The sequence below is a fragment of the Homo sapiens genome, chromosome 2 (genome assembly GCF_000001405.40).
Source record: "Homo sapiens chromosome 2, GRCh38.p14 Primary Assembly".
Classification (NCBI taxonomy): Eukaryota; Metazoa; Chordata; class Mammalia; order Primates; family Hominidae; genus Homo; species Homo sapiens.
Genome location: NC_000002.12, coordinates 61,671,234 through 61,697,606, shown reverse-complemented (window position 1 = coordinate 61,697,606; position 26,373 = coordinate 61,671,234). Strand labels below are relative to the sequence as shown.

Here is a 26,373-nt window from a genome sequence, read left to right as displayed (position 1 = left end):
TTCAACTAATCTCTTTGCTGCCAATTTAAAATTAAGGGAATGGCCAGGCACAGCAGCTCATGCCTGTAATCCCAGCACTTTGGGAAGCAGGAGGACCGCTTGAGCCCAGAAGTTGCAGACTAGCTTGGGTAACATATCCAGACCCCTCTCTAGAAATTTTTTTTTTTTCAGAGGGAGTCTTGCTCTGTCTCCCAGGCTGAAGTGCAGTGGCGCAATCTCGGCTCACCGCAACCTCTACCTCCCGGGTTCAAGCGATTATCTTGCCTCAGCCTCCCCAGTAGCTGGGATTACAGGCGCGTGCCACCATGCCCAGCTGATTTTTTGTATTTTTAGTAGAGACGGGGTTTCACCGTGTTAGCCAGGATGGTCATGATCTCCTGACCTTGTGATCCGCCCGCCTCAGCCTCCCAAAGTGCTAGGATTACAGGCGTGAGCCATCGCGCCCGGCCTCATTTTTATTTTTGTTTTGTTTTGTTTTGAGACGGAGTCTGGCTCTGTCACCCAGGCTGGAGTGCAATGGCACGATCTGGGCTCACTACAAGTTCCGCCTCCTGGGTTCATCCATTCTCCTGCCTCAGCCTCCGGAGTAGCTGGGACTACAGGCGCCCGCCACCACGCCAGGCTAATTTTTTGTATTTTTAGTAGAGATGGCGTTTCACCGTGTTAGCGAGGATGATCTCGATCTCCTGACCTCGTGATCCACCCGCCTCGGCCTCCCAAAGTGCTGGGATTACAGGCATGAGCCACTGTGCCCGCCCAGAAAAAATTTTTTAAATTAGCCAGATGTGGTGCCGCACGCCTGTACACGCAGCTCCTTGGAAGGCTGAGGCGGGAAGATTGCTTGAGCCCTGGAGTTTGAGGCAGCAGGGAACTAAATGATACGGCCACTACTCTCCAGCCTGGGTGATACTACAAGACCTGTGGAAAGAGAAAGAAAGGGAGAAAAAGAAGAAAGATGAGAGAAAAAGAAACACAGAGAAAGAAAGAAAAAGGGAATTCTGTACCTCCTCGTTTCTTTTCTGTGTTGTCAATCAGCATTCTGTAGTCACTTAGTATCTACTTCATGGGCTGTCTTTTCTTTTCTTTTCTTTTCTTTTTTTTTTTGAGATGGAGTCTCGCTCTGTCACCCAGGCTGGAGTGCAGTGAAGCGATCTCGGCTCACTGCAAGCTCCGCCTCCCGGGTTCACGCCATTCTCCTGCCTCAGCCTCCCGAGTAGCTGGGACTACAGGCATGCGCCACCATGCCAAGCTAATTTTTGTATTTTTAGTAGAGACGGGGTTTCACCGTATTGGCCAGGATGGTCTCAATCTCCTGACCTCGCGATCCACCTGCTTCTGCCTCCCAAAGTACTGTGATTACAGACGTGAGCCACCGCGCCCGGCCAAGGGCTTTCTTTTCTTACACTCCTGTTGATGCTTCAAATGCCCCCTCAGATGGGCCTCACTCCGGGTTGAAACTGTTTGTTTGCTTGCTTGTATTTTTGTTTGTTTGAGACAGTCTCGCTTTTTTGCCCAGGCTGGAGTGCAATGGCTCGATCTTGGCTCACTGCAACCTCCGCCTCCTGGGTTCAAGCAATTCTCCCGCCTCAGCCTCCCCAGTAGCTGGGACTACAGGCACGCGCCACCACGCTCGGCTAATTTTTGTATTTTTAGTAGAGACGAGGTTTCACCATGTTGGCCAGCCTGGTCTTGAACTTCTGACCTCAAGTGATCTGCCCGCCTCGGCCTCCCGAAGTGCTGGGATTACAGACGCGAGCCACCGCGCCCGGCCAAAACTTTTTCTTAGGCTCCCATTCCCCATATCTCATGAAATTAGTCACCCCCTCACCTATTCTACCTTTGTGTCTACCATATGTTTTTGTTATTAAATGTATAATGCTGGAGTATAGTTACTTTTCTGTGTCATATATGTCTTTGTTTTCCCACCGTGTAGCACAGAAGTTGGCTGGTTAAACCGAATACATAAAAAGCAATTATATAGTTTTCTTTCTTTCCTCGAAAGGCTTACTCTCTTTAGTCCTTTAGACTAGCATTGGGGTAGGTGACACAATCAAGACTTAAGCTAAAGTGAAGGAATTCAGTGAAGAGGGTGTCACAAAACTAGAGAAATGGAATAGCCTCTCTGAAAAAAGAATCCTGTGCAGGGAGCCGCTGAGAGAGGACCCATGTCACATATGAGCAATTGGGAGGGAGGGAGAACCTTGTCTTCGCTTCCCAGGGTGTGCCATGTCCTGCTGCTCACAGGTTAGCCTGGCCGTACGTATTTCTCAGGGTCCAGTTTTCTACTTAAAGGAAAAAACAAAATACAAAAAAAAAAAAAAAAAAGGCAACTAACCCGTTAAGCTGGAAGAATATTTTTAGATAGCTGGGGCCTGGGAATACTTCTGTTACTTAACATGACCCCAGCCAGTGTGCATTTCATCCTGGATTGCCTCAGGGGTGGGAATCTTGGCTTAGGGTGGCACTGCGGAGGGGCAGCCCTGAAGACCCCCTACCCACACAGCGCAGACCCCCTGACTGCGCCCCCGCGTGGCAGCCAGCCTGAGGGCGGGGGGGCGAAACCAGGGTTTGCCCCGCCCCTTTCTCCCCTCCAAGTCGGCAGCGGCACTGGAAAGTGAAAATGAGAGTAGAAACCACCTGAGCACCCTCGCTCAGGCTGGCGACCCACACTGGTCATGTAGGCTGTGGGAGAGGAAGGGGAGCGCAGGTGGCTTGCAGGCAGGTGACCCTGTCAAGGGAAACCGGGAGGGGCTTCCTCTGGCCGCGGCCCCGCCCCACCCCGCCTCCCTTGGGCCCCGCCCCCACGAGTCTCCTCCCCCCACGAGGCCCCTCCCGGTTCCTACACCTCGGCCCCGCCCTGCGCTTTCGCCTCCGAGGCCACGCCCCCTAGGACCTGGCCAAGCCCCGCACTGAGGCTCCACAAGGCTTCGGCCTGTACGGCCACTTCCTCTTCCTCCTGCCTCTCCTCCTTTTTGGGGGACAGGGCCGCGCCGTGCCGCTGGCCCACAGACCTCGTGGATGCCGCATAGAATGGCCTGAAGCAAACACGGGGTTTTTCCCATAAGGGCCCCATCCAGGTCCGGGGGTTGGGTCACCTCTCCTGTACGTCTCTGCTGTGAGACCTTTTGCGGGGCGCGGACCCTGAAGATCCCTTTGGGTTTCTTCCTCCTTGCTCACCGGCCGGACCCAAGTGATGAGAAGGGGAGTAGGGAGATAAATTGTGGAAAGAAAAGAATGCTGCTGAATTACGGAGTGCCTAACTGAAGAAAAATCAGGGAGCAAGGACATGAGGGGGCAGTAAAATTTTTGAGGAAGATTCGTTGTCAGAAAATAGAAATGGCTAGAATCACCATCAAAGTGTCAGTCATTTCAAACTGCCTTTTAATTACAGTCCCCAGGATGCCTGGTAATTACAGTAGACATCTGACCTAATACTCGCAGACAAAGTTCAGATGGAAATATTTAGAGAAATGCAGGCACAAAGCAGGAAATTGGGGTATTGGTGTTTTCAGAGTTCTCTTTGGGTATCTCTTTGGGTATTGGGGGGGAAAAGCTCCAATGAAATATATCAGACATGATTTAAAAAATGACATGAAGCCACTGTCTGGTTTTCCTCAGGCCCGACATTGGGCAGCATTCACAGCAAGTATTCATTGGCTGGTGGAAGCCCTTGTGATCAAAATGAAGTCAGATGATTTAGCACATACAGTTGTTTGCCTGTGTTCTCCAAAACTGAAGAGCATTGCATTCACATTTCTTGTAGGGAGTGTAAAGGAAACAAACCACTCACCTGCTGCAAGTGCTTAGCATTGTGCTAGAATAATTACAGAAGCTATCTCAGGCTGGGCATGGTGGTGCACGCCTGTAATCCCAGCTACTTGGGAGGCTGAGACGGGAGGATCGCTTGAGCCCAGGAGAGATCACAACACTGCACTCCAGCCTGGGTGACAGGGTGAGACTGTCCAAAAAAAGGAAAAGAATAATTCAGCAGTAGTTGGTTACAGAGTGAAAAGTACTCCCACTTGATTTTTATTTTATTATCCTGGACTCGATTTTATTATCAAGTGGGATTTTTACCAGGGCTTTCAGAAGTTAAGGTAATTTGCCCAAGGTCACATGATTAGTAAATTATCAGTTTAGGATTGAACTCAGGTCACCTGTCTCCCCCAAATCATACAGAATGCAGGTGTGTACATTTATCTAAGTGTATCAAACTGTACAGGTAAATGGGTACATTTAATGTAAATCATAACCCAGTAAAGCTGATTTTTTAAAATCATGCAGAATGAGTGATGTTATAAAACTCGTCAAAGAAACCACATTATGATTTCATACATGAAAGTTTATATATAAAGGCTGGGCGTGGTGGCTCATGCCCGTAATCCCAGCACTTTGGGAAGTCAAGGCAGGTGGATCACCTGAGTTCAGGAGTTCGAGACCAGCCTGGCCAACATGGTGAAACCCCATCTCTACAAAAAATACAAAAATTAGCTGGGCGTGGTGGCACATGCCTGTAGTTCTACTTACTTGGGAGGCTGAGGCATAAGAATCGCTTGAACCCGGGTGGTAGAGTTTGCAGTGAGCTGAGATCGTACCACTGCACTCTACCTTGGCAATAGAGCAAGACTCTGCCTCAAAAAGTTTATGTATAAAGATATGCCTTTATTTATAATTAACATACATATTGAAAGGTTGGTGACACCACTGTCAAGCATTGTTCATTCAAGTGACCTTTCCAAACTTCAGTACAGATGTATATAAATATCAAGCAGGAAGCTACCATGGGTTAGGGTCATGAAAGTCTGTCTTGGAACAAGCATACACAGAATTGGAAACAACATTGGAAGTATGTGATACCACACCTATCTAACAAAAATATCTTCAAAGTGCAGGGCACTGAACGGATCAGACACTTTTGCTATTGGGTATGCACAAAAGTCACCTTTGTATGTATAATATACTATGTGTGGTACTAAGGATTGTATAATATACTATGTGTGGTACTAAGGATAGTGATTACCAGCTGCGCAGCAGAACTTACAAGTTTTTATTTTCAATTATACCAAGGCTGTGTTTGACTGTTTAAAGACAGTATACTGACAACTGTTTCATTTTATAATGTTCCATTTTGAAGTTTTACCAGTTTCAGAAACATCTTGAATTTAAGGCTTTAATGAAATTTTGTGAATCAAAAATTCATAAAATTGGTATTCTGAACAATCATGATTGTCCATACATATGTAGAAACAGGATACAGCATAACTCAGTTTTTCTCACAAGTGGCAAACTGGCTTTCATAGAATGGTTAAACTGATGATAGTTGCCACCCTGGCCCGATACACATATGTTTCTGTCGGTCAATTTAACAGCCCCCCTTATAACGATAAACTCCACAAGGCCTCAAAATAGGATGTTACTAATTGAATTTCACTGTTAGGAATTCTGCACAACCTTATGTTTTCCTAAAAAATATTTTCTTGGCCAGGCACAGTGGTTCATGCCTGTAATCATTCTCTACGATTAGCCTCCCAGCACTTTGGGAGGCTAAGGCAGGAGGATGACTTGAGCCCAGGAGTTTGAGATCAGCCTGGGCAACATGGCAAAACCCTGTCTCTACCAAAAACACAAAAAATTGGCCAGATTTGGTAGCATGTGCCTATGGTCCAAGCTACTCGGGAGGTTGAGGTGGGAGGATCGCTTGAACCTGGGAAGCAGAGGTTGCAGTGAGTGGAGATCGCACCACCGCACTCCAGCCTGGGCAACAGAGAGACCTCATCTGAAAAATAAAAAAAAATTTAAAATTTAAAAAGTTTAACCAAGGCCAGGTGTGGTGTCTCACGCCTGTAATCCCAGCATTTTGGGAGGCCAAGGCAGGAAAATCACTTGAGGTCATGAGTTTGAGACCAGCCTGGCCAGCATGGCGAAACCCCCTCTCCACTAAAAATACAAAAATTAGCTGGGTGTGGTGGCAGGCACCTGTATTCTCAGCTACTTGGGAGACTGAGAAAGGAGAAACACTTGAACCCGGGAGGTGGAGGGTGCAGTGAGCCGAGATCACGCCACTGCACTCCAGCCTGGGCAATAGAGTCTGGGCAAGAGACTCAGTCTCAAAAAAAAAAAAAAAAAAAATTCAACCTTATGTATATATAAAAGATATTCACTGCAGTGGCATATATAATGACAAAATTGGAAAACCTAATATAAATCAACAACAGTAACATATATAGCATAGATAAGAGACTATAAACAACTACATCAAAATGTTAATTGTGGTTATTGCTGAATAGTAGGATTATGGGCCACTTAAATTTTCTTTATACTTCAACATTTTTTCACATTGTCTATGATTAGCATTTTTTAATAATCAGGTAAATAAATACTAATTTTTAAAAAAGAAAATCCTTGGAGGGCTTAAGAAACACTTAACTTCTTGATCATAGCTAATGGAATAAAATATTAGTGCTTATACATGGTAAATAGCCAAGAAATAATCCTAAGCAATGACTACTTTAGAAATCAGTCTCACTCTGCCACCTCCTTTCATTCGTATCCTCAACTAGTTGTCAGAACTGTTTCCTGTGGTTGAAAGCCTATTTCTCCCAAAGTACAATAGTACAAAATGAATATAGTCTAAAAGCTTACACCTACATAGATCTAAAATGTTAACATTATTAAAAAACAATTAATAACACAAACTCAGAAAGTAATCTCATGTTTAATAATGCTTCCTTCTTCCCAAAAAGCCTAAGAGCCCCAGATCCTGTGCTAAATACTGTTAAAGTGCACAAAGTGAGGGTCTTTTCAACTAAAACACTCATCTACATACATAATATGATTCATATGTCCTAGAAAAAGGTCTGGAAAACTGTACATCAAGTTATTAAGTCTCCAATGGTGAAATTATAAATGTTTTCAGAACATTTTTGCTTGTCAGTATTTTCAGATTGTTGTATAATGTGTGACTATGGTCTTTTGTCAAAAGAAAAAGGTGTTTTAATGTCATTTTGACAAAAATAAATGCTACCTAGAGCTGTTAGAATTTGTGCCTTTTAAAAGACCTTTTTAACTTGCAAGTAGGAAAACAAGTTAGTAATTACAGCATGGAGTTTTGACACACTAAGCAATATAGCTTTATATTTGGTATCTGCCTAATACTTGAGAAGAAAAAAAATAAGTCCTTTGAACATGTTTATGAAGCAATTTAGGAAATCCTCTCAGACAACTCAGTTGTGTTCCAACTATTTAAATAAGTTAAATGAACACCTTCCATTGGCAGTTGTATCAGTGGAGTCATACATCAATGAAGGATTTAAAACAAGGCAAATACTCTAGTAGAAAATTGAAGAAACAAAACACCATGTAGAAACAGACAAGTTTCCCAATAGAACAGCATCAAGTTAATAATTAGTCTTTAAATAAAAACAACTGGGACATTTTTGCCTGTCACAGATTTCTAAGATGGAACATTACCTGTGGGTTGGTAACATGGTCCATTTTACAAAGTATACTGGCCCTTTGTTTTACATAAAGTAGATGTTCAATACCTTTTTATTTAAAAATTTTTTGATTCAAACTTATGCAATTGAAAAATGATTCTTAAGTTTAATTTACAAATGAAGATTAATTGCTCACTGGACAAAATTTAATACTAATTTTTTTCTTAAATTTGAGCATCTGGAGGAAAGTCTCAATTAATTTGAGTTCACATCTAATAAAATGAAACAAAACCATCTGATTGAGGCAACATGATGTACTGAAAAGAGCTTTGAACACTGGAATCTCCCAATATTGCAACTATTTTGTAACTTTGGTTTCATTTTCTCCCACTCTAAAAGGAAATGATTAAGCCCATCATCTCCAAGATCTTTTTACGTTTTAAGAGTCTGTGACTTGGGCTGAGAGCCGTGGTTCATGACTGTAATCCCAGCCCTTTGGGAAGCCGAGGCGGAGAAGATAACTTGAGCCCAGGAGTTTGAGACCAGCCTGGACAATATCGTGAGACTCTCTCAATTTTTAAATAAATATAAATAAAAAAGAGTCTACGACTTGAAAACAAACATGAAGATTCTAAAAGGTGGAGAGAAGGCAGACTGGCTAGGAAACTCAGGGCCCAAGGAACAGCGATGCATCTTCTAGATTGTCTTTCTATCTCATCTATACTGCACTTGGAGCTGAAGAAGCTGGCGGCTCCAACAGAAGCCTGCTCTCCTTAGCCAAAGGACCTGAAAAAGAGAAGCCTAGTAAGACAGAAAACCTTTAGACAGTAACTTCTACACTCGAGCCAAACATGGCAGAAAAAAACTGTGGCCGCAACCCATCCCCCTGAGTGGAAGCCAAGTAGGAAACTTAGATTTCCACCTTTGCCAGACTATAACGAGGTGCCCCAGTGCCACCCACCACCACCCTGCCACCACCAGTGTGGTGCCAGAGGAAGCCTAGTGGAGACGCAGGACTTTCACAACCACTCAGAAAGTCATGAGGTGGAGGCGACACACCCTAACCCTGTGATGTCAGAGGGGTCCCCCTCAGGAGCAGAGTGAGGCCCTCCCTGTCAGGGAGACATCAGTGGAGGCTTAGTGAAGACCTGGAATGCCCATCTCCACCCAGAAGTAATGAAGAGCACCTCCAACAGAGGCCAAGTAGGCCCGAAGAGTACAGCACCCAACTGGACTTCTACCCCCAGCCAGCAGTAACGTGCTGTCCAGCCCCATGCCCCCACCCTCCTCCTGGAGCATTATCAAAGAAACCAGCTGAAAAAGAATGTTTCAATAAGATCCACGTGCTGCCCTTTAAAGCACAAAAGTTTTTTTATTTTGGCCAGGTGTGGTGGCTCATGCCTGTAGTCCCAGCACTTTGAGAGGCCAGGGTGGGAGGATTGCTTAAGCCCAGGAGTTTGAGACCAGCCTAGGCAACACGGTGAAAACCTATCTCTACAAAAAAAATAGAAAAATTACCTGGGTGCAGTGGTGCGGGCCTGTAGTCCCAGCTACTCGGGAGGCTGAGGCGGAGCATCACTTGAGCCCTGGAGGCGGAGGCTGTGGTGAACCGAGATTGCGCCACTCTACTCTAGCCTGGGCAAGAGAGTGAGACCCGGTCTGAAAAGAAAAAAAAAAAGTTTTTTATTTTGAAGTCCAATTTGTCCATTTTTTCTTTTGTTGTTCATATTTTTGTTCTCATATCTAAGAACTCTGCCAAATCCAAGATCATGAAGATCCCTGTTTCCTTGTTTTCTTCGAAGAATTTTATAATTTTAGCTCTTACATTTAGGTTTTTCATCCTTTTTGAGTTAATTTTTGTATATGGTATGAAATAAGGGTTCAACTTTATTGTTTTGCCTGTAGCTATCCAGTCATCCCAGCACTATTTGTTGAAAAGAATATTCCTTCCCACTGAATGGTCTTGGTATCCTGTCAAAATCAATTGAATATCGGCCAGGCACTGTGTCTCACGCCTGTAACCCCAGCACTTTGGGAGGCTGAGGAGAGCAGATCACCTGAGGTCAGGAGTTCGAGACCAGCCTAGCCAACATGACAAAACCCGTCTCTACTAAAAATACAAAAATTAGCAGGGCATAGTGGTGGGCACCTGTAATCCCAGCTACCTGGGAGGCTGAGGCAGGAGAAAGCATGAACCCGGGAGGCAGAGGTTGCAGTGAGCAGAGATTGAGCCACTACACCCTAGCCTGGGCGACAGAGTTGACTATAGATGTAAGGGTTTATTTCTGGACAGTTAATTCCATTCCCATCCATCTATATGTCTGTCCTTGTGCCAGTACCACACTGTTTTGATAACTACTGATTTGTAGTAAATTTGAGATCAAGAATTGTGAGTTTCAAACTTTATTCTCCTTTTTCAGGATTGATTCGAATATTCTGGGTCCCTTGCAATCCATATGAATTTTAGAATAAACTTGTCAATTTCTAGGAAGAAGTCAGTGGGGATTCTGATAGGAATTGCATTAAATCTTTAGATCAGTTTCAAGAGCGTTGCCTTCTTAACAATGTTAAATCTTGTAATCCAAGAACATGGAATTTTTTTTCATTTCTGTAGATCTCCTTTAATTCTGTTCAACAATGTTTTGTAGTTTTCAGAGCATAAGTTTTGTACTTCTATTTTTTTTTAAATTTCAACCTTTATTTTAGGTTCAGGATGTACCTGTGCAGGTTTGTTACATGGGTATATTACATGATGTTGAGGTTTGGGGTACAACTGATCCCATCACCCAGATAGTGAGCATAGTACCCAGTGGGTAGTTTTTCAACCCTTGCCCCCTCTCTTCTTCCCCTTTCTAGTCATCCCCAGTGCTTACTATTCCTATCTTTGTGTCGATGGGTACCCATGCTATGGGTGATTATTGATGAGAACAATAAGCACCAGGAACTACTAGGGGAGAGGAGGGTGAGTGCAAGGGATGAAAAAATGGGAGCTAAACTATTTTTTTTTTTTTTTGAGATGGAGTCTCACTCTTGTCGCCCAGGCTGGAATGCAATGGTGCGATCTTGGCTCACCGCAACCTCCACCTCCCGGGTTCAAGTGATTCTCCTGCCTCAGCCTCCCAAGTAGCTGGGATTACAGGCACCCACCACCACACCGGCTAACTTTTATATTTTTAGTAGAGATTTTGGGCAGGCTGGTCTTGAACTCCTGACCTCAAGGGATCTGCCCGCCTCAGCCTCCCAAAGTGCTGGGATGACAGGCCTGAGCTACTGTGCCCACCTGGGAGCCAGAGTCTTAAAAGCGAGAACATATGGTATTTGGTTTTCGGTTTCTGTGTTAATTCACTTAGCATAATGGCCTCCAGCTGCCTCTATGTTGCTGCAAAGGACACGATTTCATTCTTTTTATGGCTGCATAGTATTCCATTGTGTATATGTACCGCATTTTCTTTCTTCGATCCACCATTGATGGGCACCTAGGTTGATTCCATGTCTTTGCTATTGTGAATAGTGCTGTGATTAACATGAGTTGCACTTCTTTTGTTAAATTTATCCCTAAGTATTTTATTCTTTTTAATGCTATTGTGAATGAAATTGTCTTCTTGATTTCATTTTTGGATTTTTCATTGCAAAACTGCAAATGATTTTTGTATATCAATTACATATTCTGCAACCTCACTGAAATGGTTTTCTATTTCTAGTAGACTTTTAGTGTATTCCTTAGGATTTTCTATATATAGGATCGTGTCATCTGTGAATAGAGATAGTTTCATTTCTTCCTTTACAATGTGGATGCGTTTTATTTTTCTTTACTAATTGCCTTAGCCAGAATCTCTAGTACAAAACTGAATAGAATATTCAAGTGGGGCTTATTCCAGGGATGCAAGGCTGGTTTAATATTCAAAAATCAATCAACATAATCCACCATATAAACAGCCCAAAGAATAAAAATTACATGATCATATCAATTAATGTAGAAAGTGCATTAGAAAAAATTCAACATCCATTTATGATAAGAACTGTCAGAAAACTACAAATAAAGGGGAACTTCCTCAACTTGAAAAAAAAATCACAAAAACCCCACCAGTAACATTATACTTCATAGTGAAAAACAATGTTTCTCCCCTAATATCATGAGCAAGGCAAGGTTGTTCGGTCTCATCACTGTCATTCAACATAGTGCTGGAAGTCCTAGCCAATGCAATAAGCAAGGAAAGGAAAGAAAGCATACAGATTGGAATGGAAGAAATAAAACTGTTCCTATTTGCAGATGACATGACTGTCTACATAGAAAATCCTAAGGACTCTACAGAAAAAAAACAAAAACCCTCCTAGAAGTAATAAGTATGTTCAGCAAGATTATAGAATATAAGATAAACACAAAAATCAATTGCATTTCTATATGCTGGCAATAAACGTGTGAACACCAAAATTAAAAATGATTTATGGCCTAGCGCAGTGGCTCAAATCTGTAATCCTAACACTTTGGGAGGCCAAGGTGGGCAGATCACCTGAGGTCAGAAGTTTGAGACCAGCCTGGCCAACATGGTGAAACCCAATCTGTACTAAAAATACAAAAATTAGCCAGGCATGGTGGTGCGCGCCTGTAAGCCCAGCTACTCAGGAGGCTGAGGCAGGAGAATTGCTTGAACCCAGGAGGCAGAAGTTGCAGTGAGCTGAGATCATGCCACTGCACTCCAGCCTGGGCAAGAAGAGTGAAACTCTGTCTGAAAAAAAAAAAATTATGATTATCCTCCACAAAAATGAAATACTTAGGTGTAAGTCTACAAAACGTATAGGAGACTTGTATGATGAAGACTTCAAAATGCTGATGAAAGAAATCAAGAAGATCAAAATCAATGGAGAAATGTACTGTGTTTCTAGGTTGGAAGACTCAGCTTAGTAAAGATGTCAATTCTCACCCAAATTGATATACAAGTTTAATGCAAATCCTATCAAAATTCTAGTAAGATTTCCTGTAGATAGACAAGATTGTTTTAAAATTTAGATGGAAATGCAAAGGACCTAGAATAGCTAAAACAATTTTGTAAAAGAAAAATAAAGTGGGAAGAATCAGTCTACCCAATTTCAAGATTTAATTATATAGCTACAGCAATCAATACCATGTGGCACTGGCAGAGGGATAGAGATACAGACGAATAGAATAGAATAGAATAGAATAGAATAGAATAGAATAAAATAGAATAGAATAGAATAGAATAGAATAGAATAGAAAGAATAGAATAGAATAGAATAGAATAGAATAGAATAGAATAGAATAGAATAGAATAGGAGGGAACCCAGAAATAGGCACACACAATATACCCATCTGAATTTTGACAAATATGCAAAAGCAATTCAATGGAGAAAAGACAGCATTTTCAACCAATGGTCCTGGAGTAAATTGGACATTCAAAGACAAAATAATGAACCTGAGTCTCACACCTTATACAATATACAAAAATTAAAATGGACCATGGACTTAAATGTAAGGCATAAAACAGTAAAACTTTTTAGGAAAAATAATTAGGAGAAAATCTGCAAGATCTAAGGTGAGGGCCGGGCACAGTGGCTCATGCATGTCATGTCAGCACTTTGGGAGGCCAGAGGGTAGATGACATGGGCCCAGGAGTTCAAGACCAGCCTGGGCAACATGGTGAAACCCAGTCTTTATTAAAAATACAAAAATTAGCCAGGCATGGTGTCATGTGCCTGTAGTCCCAGCTACTGGGGAGGCTGAAGTGGGAGGATTGCCTGAGCCCAGGAGGTCAAGGCTGCAGTGAGCCAAGATTGTGTCACTGCACTCCAACCTGGGCAACAGAGGAGACTCTGTCTCAAAAATAAATAAATAAAAATTAAAAAATTGAAAGTGAGGTAAAGATTCTTTTGTTTTTTGTTTTTTTCTTTGTAAGATAGGGTCTTTCTCCGTTGCCCAGGCTGGAGTGCCTTGACCTCCTGAAGTGCTGGGATTACAGGCATGAGCCACTGTGCCCAGCCTAGCTTTCTAAAGCCAATCTATAAAATGAAAAATTGGTAAATTGGACTTTATTAAAATTTAAAACTTTTGCTCTGCAAAAAAACTTCGTAAAGAAGATGGAAAGACAAGTTACAGACTGGGAGAAAATATTTGCAAACTACATATTCAACAAAGTACTAGTATCTCGACTATATAAAGAACTCTCACATCACTGTACTCCAGCCTAGGTGACAGAGCAAAACTCTGTCTCTTAAAGAATAAAGAAAAAAAAACTACAAAGAGATATCACTACACACACATAATAGAATGGCTAAAATTTAAAAAATAGTGACAAGACAATACCAATGCTGACAAGGATGTAGAGAAAATATATCACTCATACATGCTGCCACAAATGTAAAATGGTACAGCCACTTTGGAAAAACAGTTTAGCAGTTTCTTAAAAAACTGAACATGCAACTACCATAGGACACAGCAATAGCACTCCTAAGCATTCATGTCAGAGAAATGAAAACGGAATGTCCACCCTAAACCCTGTACACAAACGTTTATAGCAGCTTTATGCATTGTCTTAGTCATTTGGGTTGCTATAACAAAATACCTTAGACTGGGTAATTTATAAACAACAAATATTCATTGTCCACCGTTCTGGAGGCTGGGAAGTCCAAAATCAAGGCACCAGCAGATTAGGTATCTGGTGAGGGCTCATTTTTCATTAATGGTGCCTTTGTGTGTCCTCACATAGTGGCAGGGGAGAGGGGCTAGCAAGCTCCCTAATACCCCTCCTTTTTTTTCTTTTTTTTCTCTTTTTGAGACAGTTCTTGCTCTGTCACCCAGGCTGGAGTGCAGCAGTGTGATCTCGGCTCACTGCAACCTCTTCCTCCCGGGCTCAAGCCTACTAAAGTGGGCGTGGCTATAAAAGGGCAACGTGAGGGATCCTTGTGGTGATGGAAATATTCTGTATCAATGTCAGTATCCTGGTTGTGATACTATAGTTTAACTTTGCAAGATGTTAACACTTGGGGAAACTGGGTAAAATGTACATAGGATTTATCTGAATTATTTTTTACAACATATGAATCTACAATGATCTCAAAATTAAAAGTTTATTTATTTATTTATTTTTTTAAAACAAGGTCTTGGCCGGGCGCAGTGGCTTACACCTGTAATCCCAACACTCTGGGAGGCCAAGGCAGGCAGATCATTTGAGGTAAGGAGTTCAAAACCAGCCTGGTCAACATGGTGAAACCCTGTCTCTACTAAAAATACAAAAATTAGCCAGGAGGCATGGTAGCATGCGCCTGTAATCCCAGCTACTTGGGAGGCTGAGGCAGGAGAATCGCTTGAACCCAGGAGATGGAGGTTGCAGTGAGCACAGATCGTGCCATTGCACTCTAGCCTGCGTGACAGAGCAAGACTCTGTGTCAAAAAACAAAACAAAACAAAACCAACCAACCAAAACAAAAACAAAAAAACAAAAAAAAACAGCCGGGCGCAGTGGCTCATGCCTGTAATCCAAGCACTTTGAGAGGCTGAGTCGGGTAGATCACCTGAGGTCAGGAGTTTGAGACCAGCCTGGCCAACCTGGTGAAACCCTGTCTCTACTAAAAATACAAAAATTAGCTGGGTGTGAGGGCGTCGCCTGTAATCCCAGCTACTCTGGAGGCCAAGGCTGGAAAATCACTTGAATCCAGGAGGTGGAGGTTGCAGTGAGCTGAGATCACACCATTGCACTCCAGCCTGGGCAACAAGAGTGAAACTCTGTCTCAAAAAAAAAAAAGAAAAGAAAAAAAAGGAAACAAAGTCTCACTATGTTGCCCAGTCTGGAACTCCTGGGCTCTAGTGGTGTTCCTGCCTCAGCCTCCCAAGCAGCTGAGACTACAGGTGTGCACCACCAAGCCCAGCAAAAGTTTAATTTTTTTAAAGAATCTAAAATTTGCTATCTAGATAAGTGAGAGAAGCTGACAATATGATATCACTATTGTTAAAAAAAAAATAGTAACTGCAACTGTCTGGCCCTCAAAGGTCTCATTTCCTAATACCAGCACCTTAGGGGTTAGGATTCAACATATGAATTTGGGGGGTTGGAGACACAAATATTCAGATGATAGCACCCACCTTTCCTCCAACCTTATCTCCTACTAGGCACCCCTGGTATATTGAGCTGCATTCTGGCTTCCTTTTTTTTTTCATACCTGAAGCACATTCACATCTCAGAGTCTTTGTACCTGTGGTTCCCTCTGTCCAGAACAACCCTCCCCTACATATCTGTGAAGTTTCCTCTTGCTTTCAGGTTTTTAATAAAATGTGATGGCTTCTGAGAAACCTGGTTGCCTAGCCACCCTATCTAAAGTAGCAGCGCTACCACTCTCTAGCCCTTGACTCTTTTTCTACAAAGCATCTACCACCGCTATTACATATCTATTTGCTCATTATCTGTCTCCTTCTCTAGAACATAGGTTCCATGAGGGCAGGACTTTGTTTACTGCTCAATCCCCAGAGCCTAGGTCAGCATTTGGAGCATAGAAAATGATCAATAGCCCAGGCATGGTGGCTCATGCCTGCAATCTCAGCACTTTGGGAGGCCGCAGGCAGATTACCTGAGGTCAGGAGTTTGAGACCAGCCTGCCCAACATGGTGGAACCCCGTCTCTACTAAAAGTACAAAAAAATTAGCTAGGCATGGTGGTGTGTGCCTGTAATCCCAACTCCTCAGGAGGCTGGGGCAGGAGAATTGCTTGAACCCAGGAGACGGAGATTGCAGTGAGCCAAGATCACGCCACTGCTCTCTAGCCTGGGTGACAGAGCAGGACTCCATCTCAAAAAAAAAAAAAAGAAAGAAAGAAAAGAAAAAAAGAAAATGATCAATAAACATTTGGCAAATGAATGAATTCAGATAGTAAGGGAAATGAAACATTATATTTGCCACAGAGATTGCCAAACAGAAAGATAGTAGTGAGAAGAACATGAAAGAAAAGTCATACTGATATTCATTGAATGCCTCAAAGTAAGCCGGCTCAGTATCAGAGGTCACATTCCTGTTTTACTGAAGATCAGGAATTAACATACAAACAGTGATAATATATTGAATAGAAGTCAGACAATGTGCAGAAGATATTTTGTGAGACAAAGTATCTGTGTTCATATTTAATCAATATTCCTATAGTATTAAAAATGGAGGCTGGGCACGGTGGCTCATGCCTGTAATCCCAGCACTTTGGGAGGCTGAGGCAGATGGATCACGAGGTCAAGAGTTCGAGACCAGTCTGGGAAACATAGTGAAACCCCGTATTGACTAACAATACAAAAAATTAGCTGTGTGTGGTGGTATGCACCTGTAGTCCCAGCTACTCGGGAGGCTGAGGCAGGAGAATCACGTGAACCCAGGAGGCAGAGGTTGCAGTGAGCCGAGATGACGCCGCTGCACCTTCAGCCTGGGCAACCGAAGTGAAACTGTCTCAAAAAACAAGCAAACAAACAAACAAACAAACAAAAAAGGAGAGGTATAGGGAGAAAGCTCATTTGGGAATTTTGTAATATTTAAGACAATTTTGGGTGATGTTTATGGCTATAGTTTGAGATGAGCTTTGGTCACATTTTTCTGAGAAGCTTTGATTCCTTAGTAAAAATTATGAAAGCAAGCCTGTCCTGATTTAGCCAAAGTAACATCAGTTTCCTGAAGCAACAGGTAGCTGCCCACTTCATACCAGCATAACCTACTTTCAGACTAATTTCTAGACCAGTGGGTGGTATTAAGGCCCTGTTGCTGGCGATTTGGGGATTTAGGATATTTATGACTATTTCTGATACCACATTCCTGCTCAGAACGATGAGACTACCTCACAGCCTTGAATTTCATGTCTGATCAAACAGTGCATGTCACAGAACCTGTGTCCAGTACATCCAGAACCAATCTGGCCCAGCCCAGTTTAGGAGTGTCGATGATCCAGGCAGGTCAGCAGCATCTCTGTTTGGAAAGAGGAATTTGGCCTGCCCTGACTGTGTCATTCTCCTCTTCTAACCTTTAGCAGTCCATTACTGATGGGTAAAGTTCCCATTCGTCCATCCACAGGCTTGATGGTACCTACTGTACCTTTATTTGTTATAATTCAGTGGTGAAGCCATCTGGGCCCAGGATTTTCTTGGTGATTGGCTTTTTTTATTATTAATTAAATGTATTTACTTGTTATGACCTATTCAAATTGTTTATTTCTTCTTGAGTTAATTTTTGTTAGCTTGTATCTTTCTATGAATAAATTATCTAATTTGTTGGTACATAATTGTTTATAGGATTTCTCCTCATCATTTATTGCCCCACTAAATCAAGTGTTCCTAAATATGACCCCTGCTTTCCTGCCCTTTCACTTTTGTACCTGGAATCCCTTCAACTTAGTCTGTACTTATTGAAGTGTATTGAATACCTACTAGAACCAAAATATTCTTTGGAGTTCTCTAGGGAATATATGAACAAATAGATATAGTAAGGTCTTGGCTCTCAAAGAGCTTATTGTCTAGCATAGTGTCTTCTGAAGTGTGTTCTTCAGAAGTCCTGCAAAATACAACTCAAAAATAAGGTTCTATGATCAAAGACATGAGGGAACATGGTACCATATATCATTTCTTCTGTAGGTGGTTCATAATTCTCACGAGCATGTTTATTACTCTAAGAAGTTCTGCCATAGAGAAGCTCAGAGTTTCCCAAAAGAATGTGATCACCAAACCCGTTTGTTATATAGCATCTATTAACAATCTAAAGAACTTCTGTTCAATGGAAAATACTTCAGGAAACCATGGACTAGATAAAACACACAACCGAGTAGCTACAGTGCAAGTCAAATGTCCTGAGAGCTAGTCCTGTAGCCCTAATAGGTCCATTGCTCAATGTGCACCGAAAGTCAACACACCGAGACACAGTGTTGCAGCAGAGACAGGTGTTTACTTGTAGCGCTGTCTAACAAGGAAACAGGACAAAACCTCAAATCTATCTTCCTGAGGAGTCTGAGGCTAGGAATTTTAAGGGCTTTTGAGTGGGCTGAAGTGTGGAGATTGTTGATTGGCTGACAAGTGCAGGGAAAGTCATGGGAGAGAAAGATGAGGAAATGATATTCTAATGCCGATTTGTTTTTTCTGTGGGGGGGTCTTTAAACTGATTGGCATCAGCTGGTCTACTGGAATTCAGGATTCACTTACGCAATTCTTAAATAAAATCTTACGATTCTAACATCAGAGATCTTATCTAACTTCAGAAATCCTGTCTATAGGAACAGTGGGAATGCAAACAGTATCTAGTGTCATCCGTGTCTAGAGACTCACTTACAAGGAAGTCAGTCAAAGTGCAGGCTGATTAGTGCTTAATAATAACTATATTTCTGTCCAGAATTCTTGTTAACCCTGTGAGCATGGCTTCGGTCCTTGAAACATGAGTAGGAAGATGGGGGAAACAAATGAAGGAAAGGCAGAGAAGGAAACATAAATAAAGCATCCAGGGAATAGAAAGAAGAGCAGAAGAGGTGGAGACAAGAGTTAAAGAAGCTAAAGGAAAAGAGAGTGGGTCAACACAAAGAGACCAAGAAATGACTCTTGGATTTAATGATCTTGAAGTCAGCATCAACCTTCAGAATAAAAATTCCAGGAAAATGGTGGAAGTACATAAAAGGAAATAAGGAGTAAGTAGAACAGTATGTGAATTCCAAGAAAGCAGAGATTGTTGCCTCTTTTATTTGCTGGTGCTCCCCAAACCCTAGAACCATAACTAGTGTTAAAAGAAAAACCTTCAACACTTAAATTTAACAGAATTTAATTGAGCAAAGAACAATTCATGAATTGGGAAGCCCCCAAACCAGAACAGGTTCAGAGAGGGTTTGGTGCTACTGCTTGGACAAAGAAGTTTTATGGACAGAAAAAGAAAGGTCAGGTACAGATGAGGTGCAAAAACAGATTGGTTACAGCTTGGCATTTGCCCTATTTGAACCCAGTTTGAACAGCTGGCCACCTTTGATTAGCCAACACTTGGTGATTGGCACCAGAGTAGGTTATGTAATCACTTGATGGATTCTCCCTGCCCATCACACAGGCAAAACCAGTTCACTGAGGCCATGTATTGCAGTAGAGAAAGAGTTTAATTAATGCCAGGCCAGCCACATGGCAGATAGAGTTACTACTCAAATCAGTCTCCACAAAGGCTTGGAGATTAGGGTTTTTCAAGGATAGGTTGGTGGGCAAAGGACTAGGGAATGGGTGCTGCTGACTGGTTAGGAATGCAATCACAGGGTTGTGGAAAAGAGTCCTTGTGTGCCGAGTCCACCTCAGGGTAGGGGGCCACAGGACCAGCTGGGTCAACAGTCACAAGTCTGGGTGGGGTCAGTCAGTTGCCATAATGCAAAAGTCTGAAATACATCTCAAAAGACCAATCTTAGGTTCACAATAGTGATGTTATCTCTAGAAGCAACTGGGGAAGTCACACTCCAGCCTAAGCAACAGAGTAAGACCCTATCTCAAACATAAATAAGTAAATAAATATACTAAATTATTCCCATGGTTAGCTTGCCGTATGTCCAGGAATGAGCAGACATAGCCAGCCTGAGGATAGAAGCAAGATCAAGTCAGCCATGTCAGATTTCTCTGTCATAATCTTTGCAAAGACAGTTTCAGTTATGGTCTGTTTACACATCCAGTTAGATTACAGTTCACTATGTACAGAGAAACCTTTAATGTATGTAAATATGGCTGAGTGTGCCAGCTCATGCCTATAATCCCAGCATTTTGGGAGGCTGAGGTGGGTGGATCCCTTGAGCCCAGGAATGTGAGACCAGCCTGGGCAACATGGCAAAACCCCATCTCTACAAAAAATTAGCCAGGTGCAGTGGCATGCACCTGTGGTCCTAGCTACCTGGGAGGCCGAGGTGGGAGGATTACCTGAGCCTGGGAGGTCAAAACTGCAGTAAGCCATGTTGCCGCTACTGTACTCCAGCCTGGGTGACAGAGTGAGACCCTGTTTCAAAAAATAAATAAAATAAAATATGTAAAGAGACAGCTTTAGGCTAAACTTAATTTAACACTAGCACATCGAAAGCTCTCCATAAATATTCATAAATAAGTGGATGAATTAATGTATGATGAGTGGTGGTTTAAAAAAAGTGAGGTAGGGGCCAGGCACAGTGGCTCACGCCTGTAATCCCAGCATTTTGGGAGGCAGAGGCAGGCAGATCACGAGGTCAGCAGATCCAGACCATCCTGGCTAACACAGTGAAACACCATCTCTACTAAAAATACAAAAAATTAGCCAGGCATGGTGGCGGGCGCCTGTAGTCCCAGCTACTTGGGAGGCTGAGGCAGGAGAATGGCGTGAACCCAGGATGCGGAGCTTGCAGTGAGCCAAGATTGTGCCACTGCACTCCAGCCTGGGCCACAGAGCGAGACTCCATCTCAAAAAAAAAAAAAAAAAGTGAGGCAATGGAGGTAATAAAGAAAAGACTACAATAATAGTGTAGTTGAGGAAAGGGGCAACTTGAACACACTTCCAGGCAGAGGACTCCGGTGGAAAAGTATACATCAGAGATGCAAAATAAGGAAACTGATGGGACACTATCATAATTAAAGCAAGAGGAAATGAGAACAACATCACAAGCAGTAGGATAGGAGAAGGTAGGTCTCATTATGGGTTCCATATTTCCATTAACTATATCAAAATTCACTCAACTGGCCAGGTGCAGTGGCTCACGCCTGTAATCCCAACACTTTGGGAGGCCGAGGCAGGCGGATCACGAGGTCAGGAGATCAAGACCATCCTGGCTAACACGGTGAAACCTCATCTCTACTAAAAATACAAAAAATTAGCCAGGCATGGTGGCAGGCACCTGAGGTTCCAGCTACTCGGGAGGCTGAGGCAGGAGAATGGCTGAACCTGGGAGGTGGAGCTTGCAGTGAGCCAAGATCGTGCCACTGCACTCCAGCCTGGGTGACAGAGCAAGACTCCATCTCAAAAAAAAAAAAAAAAAAAAAACACTCAACCACCCAAGCTAGTAGAAATAAAAATTATTGGAAGCCATTGTTTTGGACTAAGCTCCTGTACTAGGCCCCAACAGACAAGGCTAAAAAAAATGGAGTCACCCATGCTAAAGTTCTAAGTCATCAAACCCACACTAAGTTTTTATCTCACCTTCCTAGAAGGCAGGAGAAAGAGATAACAGCCAATTTCCTCGAACAGGCCAGTTTCAATCTTCAATCCACATGATAATGAAGTTCCCTCTGCTTTAATCCTTATACAAAAGAAATAGCCTGATGTAATCTGACATTAATAAGCTGTTTTTCTGTTGTTTTAGCCTCCTGTTCCCACCTTATAAGAAGAGTTGCTTTGAAATAACTAATATTCTGTGTTCTTTGCTTCTGCTCTCTTCCGCTTTCTTCAGCCTTTCTCTGTCTATAAAGCCAATCTCTTCTGCTCAGCTTATCATGCATGCTACTAAAACGCCAAGGGTTTGGTCTAGGTGCTGCTGCTTGGTGCACAGACAGCCAATCATTGAGGCATTGAGTATTGCCAGGGAAGAAGGCTTTGAATCAAGTCCTGCATCTGAGGAGATGGGAGATCAGTCTTCAATCCATCTCCCTGACCAACTAAAATCAGAGGTTTCTGTAGCAGGGAAGAAATGTAACTATATGCAAAACACAGGAATTAGGCAGAGGTAAGGAAAATAAGTTGGTCAACAGGAAGCAGGTTGTCATTTAGGCAATCATGATGGGTAAAAAGTCTTGAGTCTCTTTGTCCAGATGCAATGATCTGGTAACTTTCAGCTCCTTGGTACTATATGGGAGGCCTGATGGTTGGTTTCCTGAGAAAGGAACTCAGATAAGACAAATGTAACTTTCTCAAGTTTTAAGACTGTGAGTGTCAGTTTCTATGTTTATTCAAAAGAAATCATAAACATCAGTTTTATGGGACAATTAGGCCAGTTTCAATCCAAACACCTACTATATTTTATGGAATAAAATATTGCCTGATTCTAGAATCTCAAACAAAGCCAACTGAGATCTTTAAATTTGTAATTTTGTTCCTTGATGCTAGAAACCCCAGTCTTCTTTAACACATCTTTGACTTTCATCCTCTTGCCTGCTTAAATGGGCACCAAGCTTTCTCAATTCCACACCTCTCATGCTCCATAGCCATTCCCATTTTTTATCCCCATGGCACTACCCTAAGTAAGGCACTTGCCATTTCTTTCCTGAAAAAATTTAATGATTTTCTGACTATGGTATGATAGATTAAATTTAACTAAAGCTTCTTAAGTATTTTAAGTTTGGCCAAAAGCTTACACCATACAGTGAACTTAAACCTAACTAGATGTGTAAATAGACTGTAAACTACACTTGTAACAAAGAGCTGAGTCTCAACCAATCACAGAACCATACTTCAGCCAATCACAGGTGGCCAGCTGTTCAAACAGCGCTCAAGTAAGACAACCATCAGGGCTATAACCAATCCAGCTGTTTCTGTACCTCACTTCCATTTTCTGTGTCACATTCCTCTTTCTGTCCATAAATCCCGTCAGAACACGTGGCACCCCAGAAGTCTCTCTAAACCTATCATAGTTGGGGGTGGGATGTGCTGCCCAATTTGTGAATCATTTTTTGCTCAATTATACTCTATTAAATTGACTTTGCCTAAAGTTTTTCTTTCAACATTAAACCATGAATTCAATGGTTTTCTGTTCTCAGCCCTTTCTCTATACTGTCATCAGCACAGTGGTCTAAAACACAGACGTGATCATGCCATTTTTTTCTTCAAAAGCGCAGCAATAGATCATTCCTTGATTTATTGAGAGCTTCCTATGTGCTAGCTGCTGGGGATGCACTGGTGAGTTATGATAAAGGGAACATTTCAAACTAGGGGCAAAGAAATCAAATGGTCATCACAAAATGAAAAGATGCTCAATGTTATTTTTCTCCCATGAGATTGGCAAAGATTTTTCTTTTTTGAGACAGCCTTGCTCTGTCGCCCAGACTGGAGTGCAATGATGTGATCTCAGCTCATTGCAACCTCCATCTCCCAGATTCAAGCGATTCTCCTGCCTTAGCCTCCTGAGTAGTTGGGACTATGGGCGTGAGCCACCATGCCCAGCTAATTTTTGTATTTTTAGTATAGATGGGGTTTCACTATGTTGGTCAGGCTGGTCTTGAACACCTGACCTCAGGTGATCCACCCGCCTCGGCCTCCCAAAGTGCTGGGAGTACAGGCATGAGCCACTGCACCTGGCCAGCAAAGATTTAAAAGAATGAAAATATCCAATGTTGGCAAATATGTGGGAAAACAAGCAACCTCATCCACTATTGGTGAGGGTATTAATAGATACAAACTTTTTAGAGGGAAATGTAGCAATAATTATTAAAATTCCAAGGCCAGGCACAGTGGCTCACGCCTGTAATCCCAGCACTTTGGGAGGCTGAGGCAGGCAGATCACTTGAAGCCAGGAGTTAGAGACCAGCCTGGCCAACATGGCAAAACCCCATCTCTACAAAAAATACAAAAATTAGCTGGGTGTGGTGGTATGTGCCTGTAGGCCCAGCTACTTGGGAGGATGAGATGGGAGAATGGCTTGAGCCCAGGAGGTAGAGGTTGCAGTGAGCCAATATAGGGGCACTGCACTCCAGCCTCAATGACAGAACCAGGCTTTGACTCAAAAAATAAAATAAAATAAAATAAATTTTAGTAATACTCATTTGCCCTAACAATGGTTATCTCTGGAATTGTGGAATTCATTATATATATATATATATATATATACACACACACACGTGTATATATATATATATATATGTGTACACGTATATATATATATACATGTATATACATATATATTTATATATATATATATAATGTGTGTATATATATATATATATATATACACATTTTTTTTTGAGACAGTCTCACTCTGTCATCCAGGCAGGGGTGCAGTGGCGCAATCTCAGCTCACTGTAACCCCCGCCTCCCAGGCTCAAGCAATTCTTGTGCCTCAGCCTCCCAAGTAGCTGGGATTATAGGTGTGTGCCACCATGCCCGGCTAATTTTTGTATTTTTTGTAAGTTCAAGCAATTCTCCTGCCTCAGCCTCCCGAGTAGCTGGGTTTACAGGCGCCTGCCACCATGCCTGGCTAATTTTTGTATTTTTAGTAGAGACAGAGTTTCCCCATGTTGGCCAGGCTGGTCTTGAACTCCTGACCTCAGCCTCCCAAAGTGCTAGGATTACAGGCATGAGCCACTGCGCCGGGCCTGGAATTATTATATAAAAAACTTTTTTATATTCCTAGAAATCTGTAAGGCAAAAATAAAAAATAAAGACAGAAAAAGAAAAAAAAACTAACTTTTTACTTCTCCGAGTATTTTTCACTACTTTTCATAGTATTTAAATGTTTATGTTTATGATTATTCTTATCATCATTATTATTATTATTATTTTGAGACGGAGTCTCACTCTGTCGCCCATTCTGGAGTGCAGTGGCAAGATCTCGTCTCACTGCAACCTCTGCCTCCCAGGCTCAAGTTAGTCTCCTGCCTCAGCCTCCCGAGTAGCTGGGATTACAGGTGTGTGCCACCATGTCTGGCTAATTTTTTTGCATTTTTGGTAGAGATGGGGTTTCGCTATGTTGCCCAGGCTGGTCTTGAACTCCTGGCCTCAAATGATCTGCCCGCCTCGGCCTCCCAAAGTGCTGGGATTGCAGGCATGAGCCACTGCACCCAGCCTTATTTATTTTTCAATTTAAAAAATGATACAAAAATGTCATCAAGAAAATTTTTTTTCTTTAATGGATTCATGCTTTTTAGGACAACATTCAAGGCTCTTCAAAATGAGCCCCTAGCCCCACAATTTCACCTCTACCATTCCCATCCACCCTTCCCTCACCCAGAATTATCCTAGGTGATGCTTTTCGTTCTATTTCACTCCCTCCACCATTCCTCTCACTGGAATGTCTTCCCTCCTCCTGTATTAATCAAAATAATACTCATCTTCCCGGGAAGCCCAGGCATGACTTCCCTTTCTCTGGGATGCTTGTGCTCCCATCTGAATTAAATTGTCCCTCCTTGGTGCTGAGGCGGTAGTTTGTTTACACCTCTAGCAGAGCACAGTTTGGCTTGCACTATTGTCACTTGTGTCTAGTGTCTCCCTTGCCAGCATTTATTCTCCACTTTCCTTGCCTCTTCTGTGAAATAAATGTTCATTTCAAAATATTTATTCAGAGCATTGCATGTTCCATACATAAATCCACGCTTAAATTATTCAGCTCCTGGAGATACACAGCTCAGCCATGTGGGCAATTACTTCAAGTCACAAAATGCTATTTTGTATTAATTTGTATTTGAAGAGAGTGCAGGAATGCATTAAACATGTCTATAGCTGTCTGGTGTTTATTCACTGACAATGAGCCGGAATTATTACTTCACTTTAAGCCTTTCTCTGGTGATTTGTTTACAGAGAGTTGTGCTAAATAGCTGAATTGTTGTCATGACCCTTTGCCTAGATCTTTTCAAAACAGTCATTAGATTTGTGTTTTACATAACACATACACACACAAAATCTCATAACCAGGAGGAAAACTGAAAACAATTTAGAATTTTAAACTTCAGCATGAGTTAAGATTAGGTTTACGGTAATGGGGATAGCCCATGATTTTGTAACTCAACAATAATATAATTTTTGCCACTTGAAAGTACTAAGTTTCTGTGGTTGCCAAAAGTAAACTGTGACAGTGTGTAGAATGAACTAATAACTGTAAATGAACTTGATCAGTAGGGCTCCTCCCGGTAAATCAAATAATTAGTCAATTTTTGCTGTGTTGGAGACTACAGTTTCAGGTCCCCAAGTGGGAGTAGCTCTTAAAGCAAAAGTGGCAGCGCATTATCATTTGTAAATTTCCACTAACAAGCAAGCCTGACTGTGTCTTTTGGCAGCCAGGGCTGTGACCTTTCTAAC

General features: G+C 42.3%; 4 annotated features.

Annotated features, from left to right (window-relative positions):
• Positions 1,128 to 1,743: an enhancer, noted in NCBI's record as "H3K4me1 hESC enhancer chr2:61922999-61923614 (GRCh37/hg19 assembly coordinates)". NCBI's record gives its function as "activates a minimal SCP1, AML or CMV promoter by ChIP-STARR-seq in primed H9 embryonic stem cells {active_cell/tissue: H9 hESC(primed)}" and the evidence as "EXISTENCE:reporter gene assay evidence [ECO:0000049][PMID:30033119]".
• Positions 2,716 to 2,875: a silencer, noted in NCBI's record as "silent region_11531". NCBI's record gives its function as "represses an Ori minimal core promoter by ATAC-STARR-seq in GM12878 lymphoblastoid cells {active_cell/tissue: GM12878}" and the evidence as "EXISTENCE:reporter gene assay evidence [ECO:0000049][PMID:35858748]".
• Positions 3,016 to 3,145: an enhancer, noted in NCBI's record as "active region_15835". NCBI's record gives its function as "activates an Ori minimal core promoter by ATAC-STARR-seq in GM12878 lymphoblastoid cells {active_cell/tissue: GM12878}" and the evidence as "EXISTENCE:reporter gene assay evidence [ECO:0000049][PMID:35858748]".
• Positions 7,127 to 7,327: a silencer, noted in NCBI's record as "peak3721 fragment used in MPRA reporter construct". NCBI's record gives its function as "represses an SCP1 promoter by STARR-seq MPRAs in K562 erythroleukemia cells {active_cell/tissue: K562}" and the evidence as "EXISTENCE:reporter gene assay evidence [ECO:0000049][PMID:32103011]".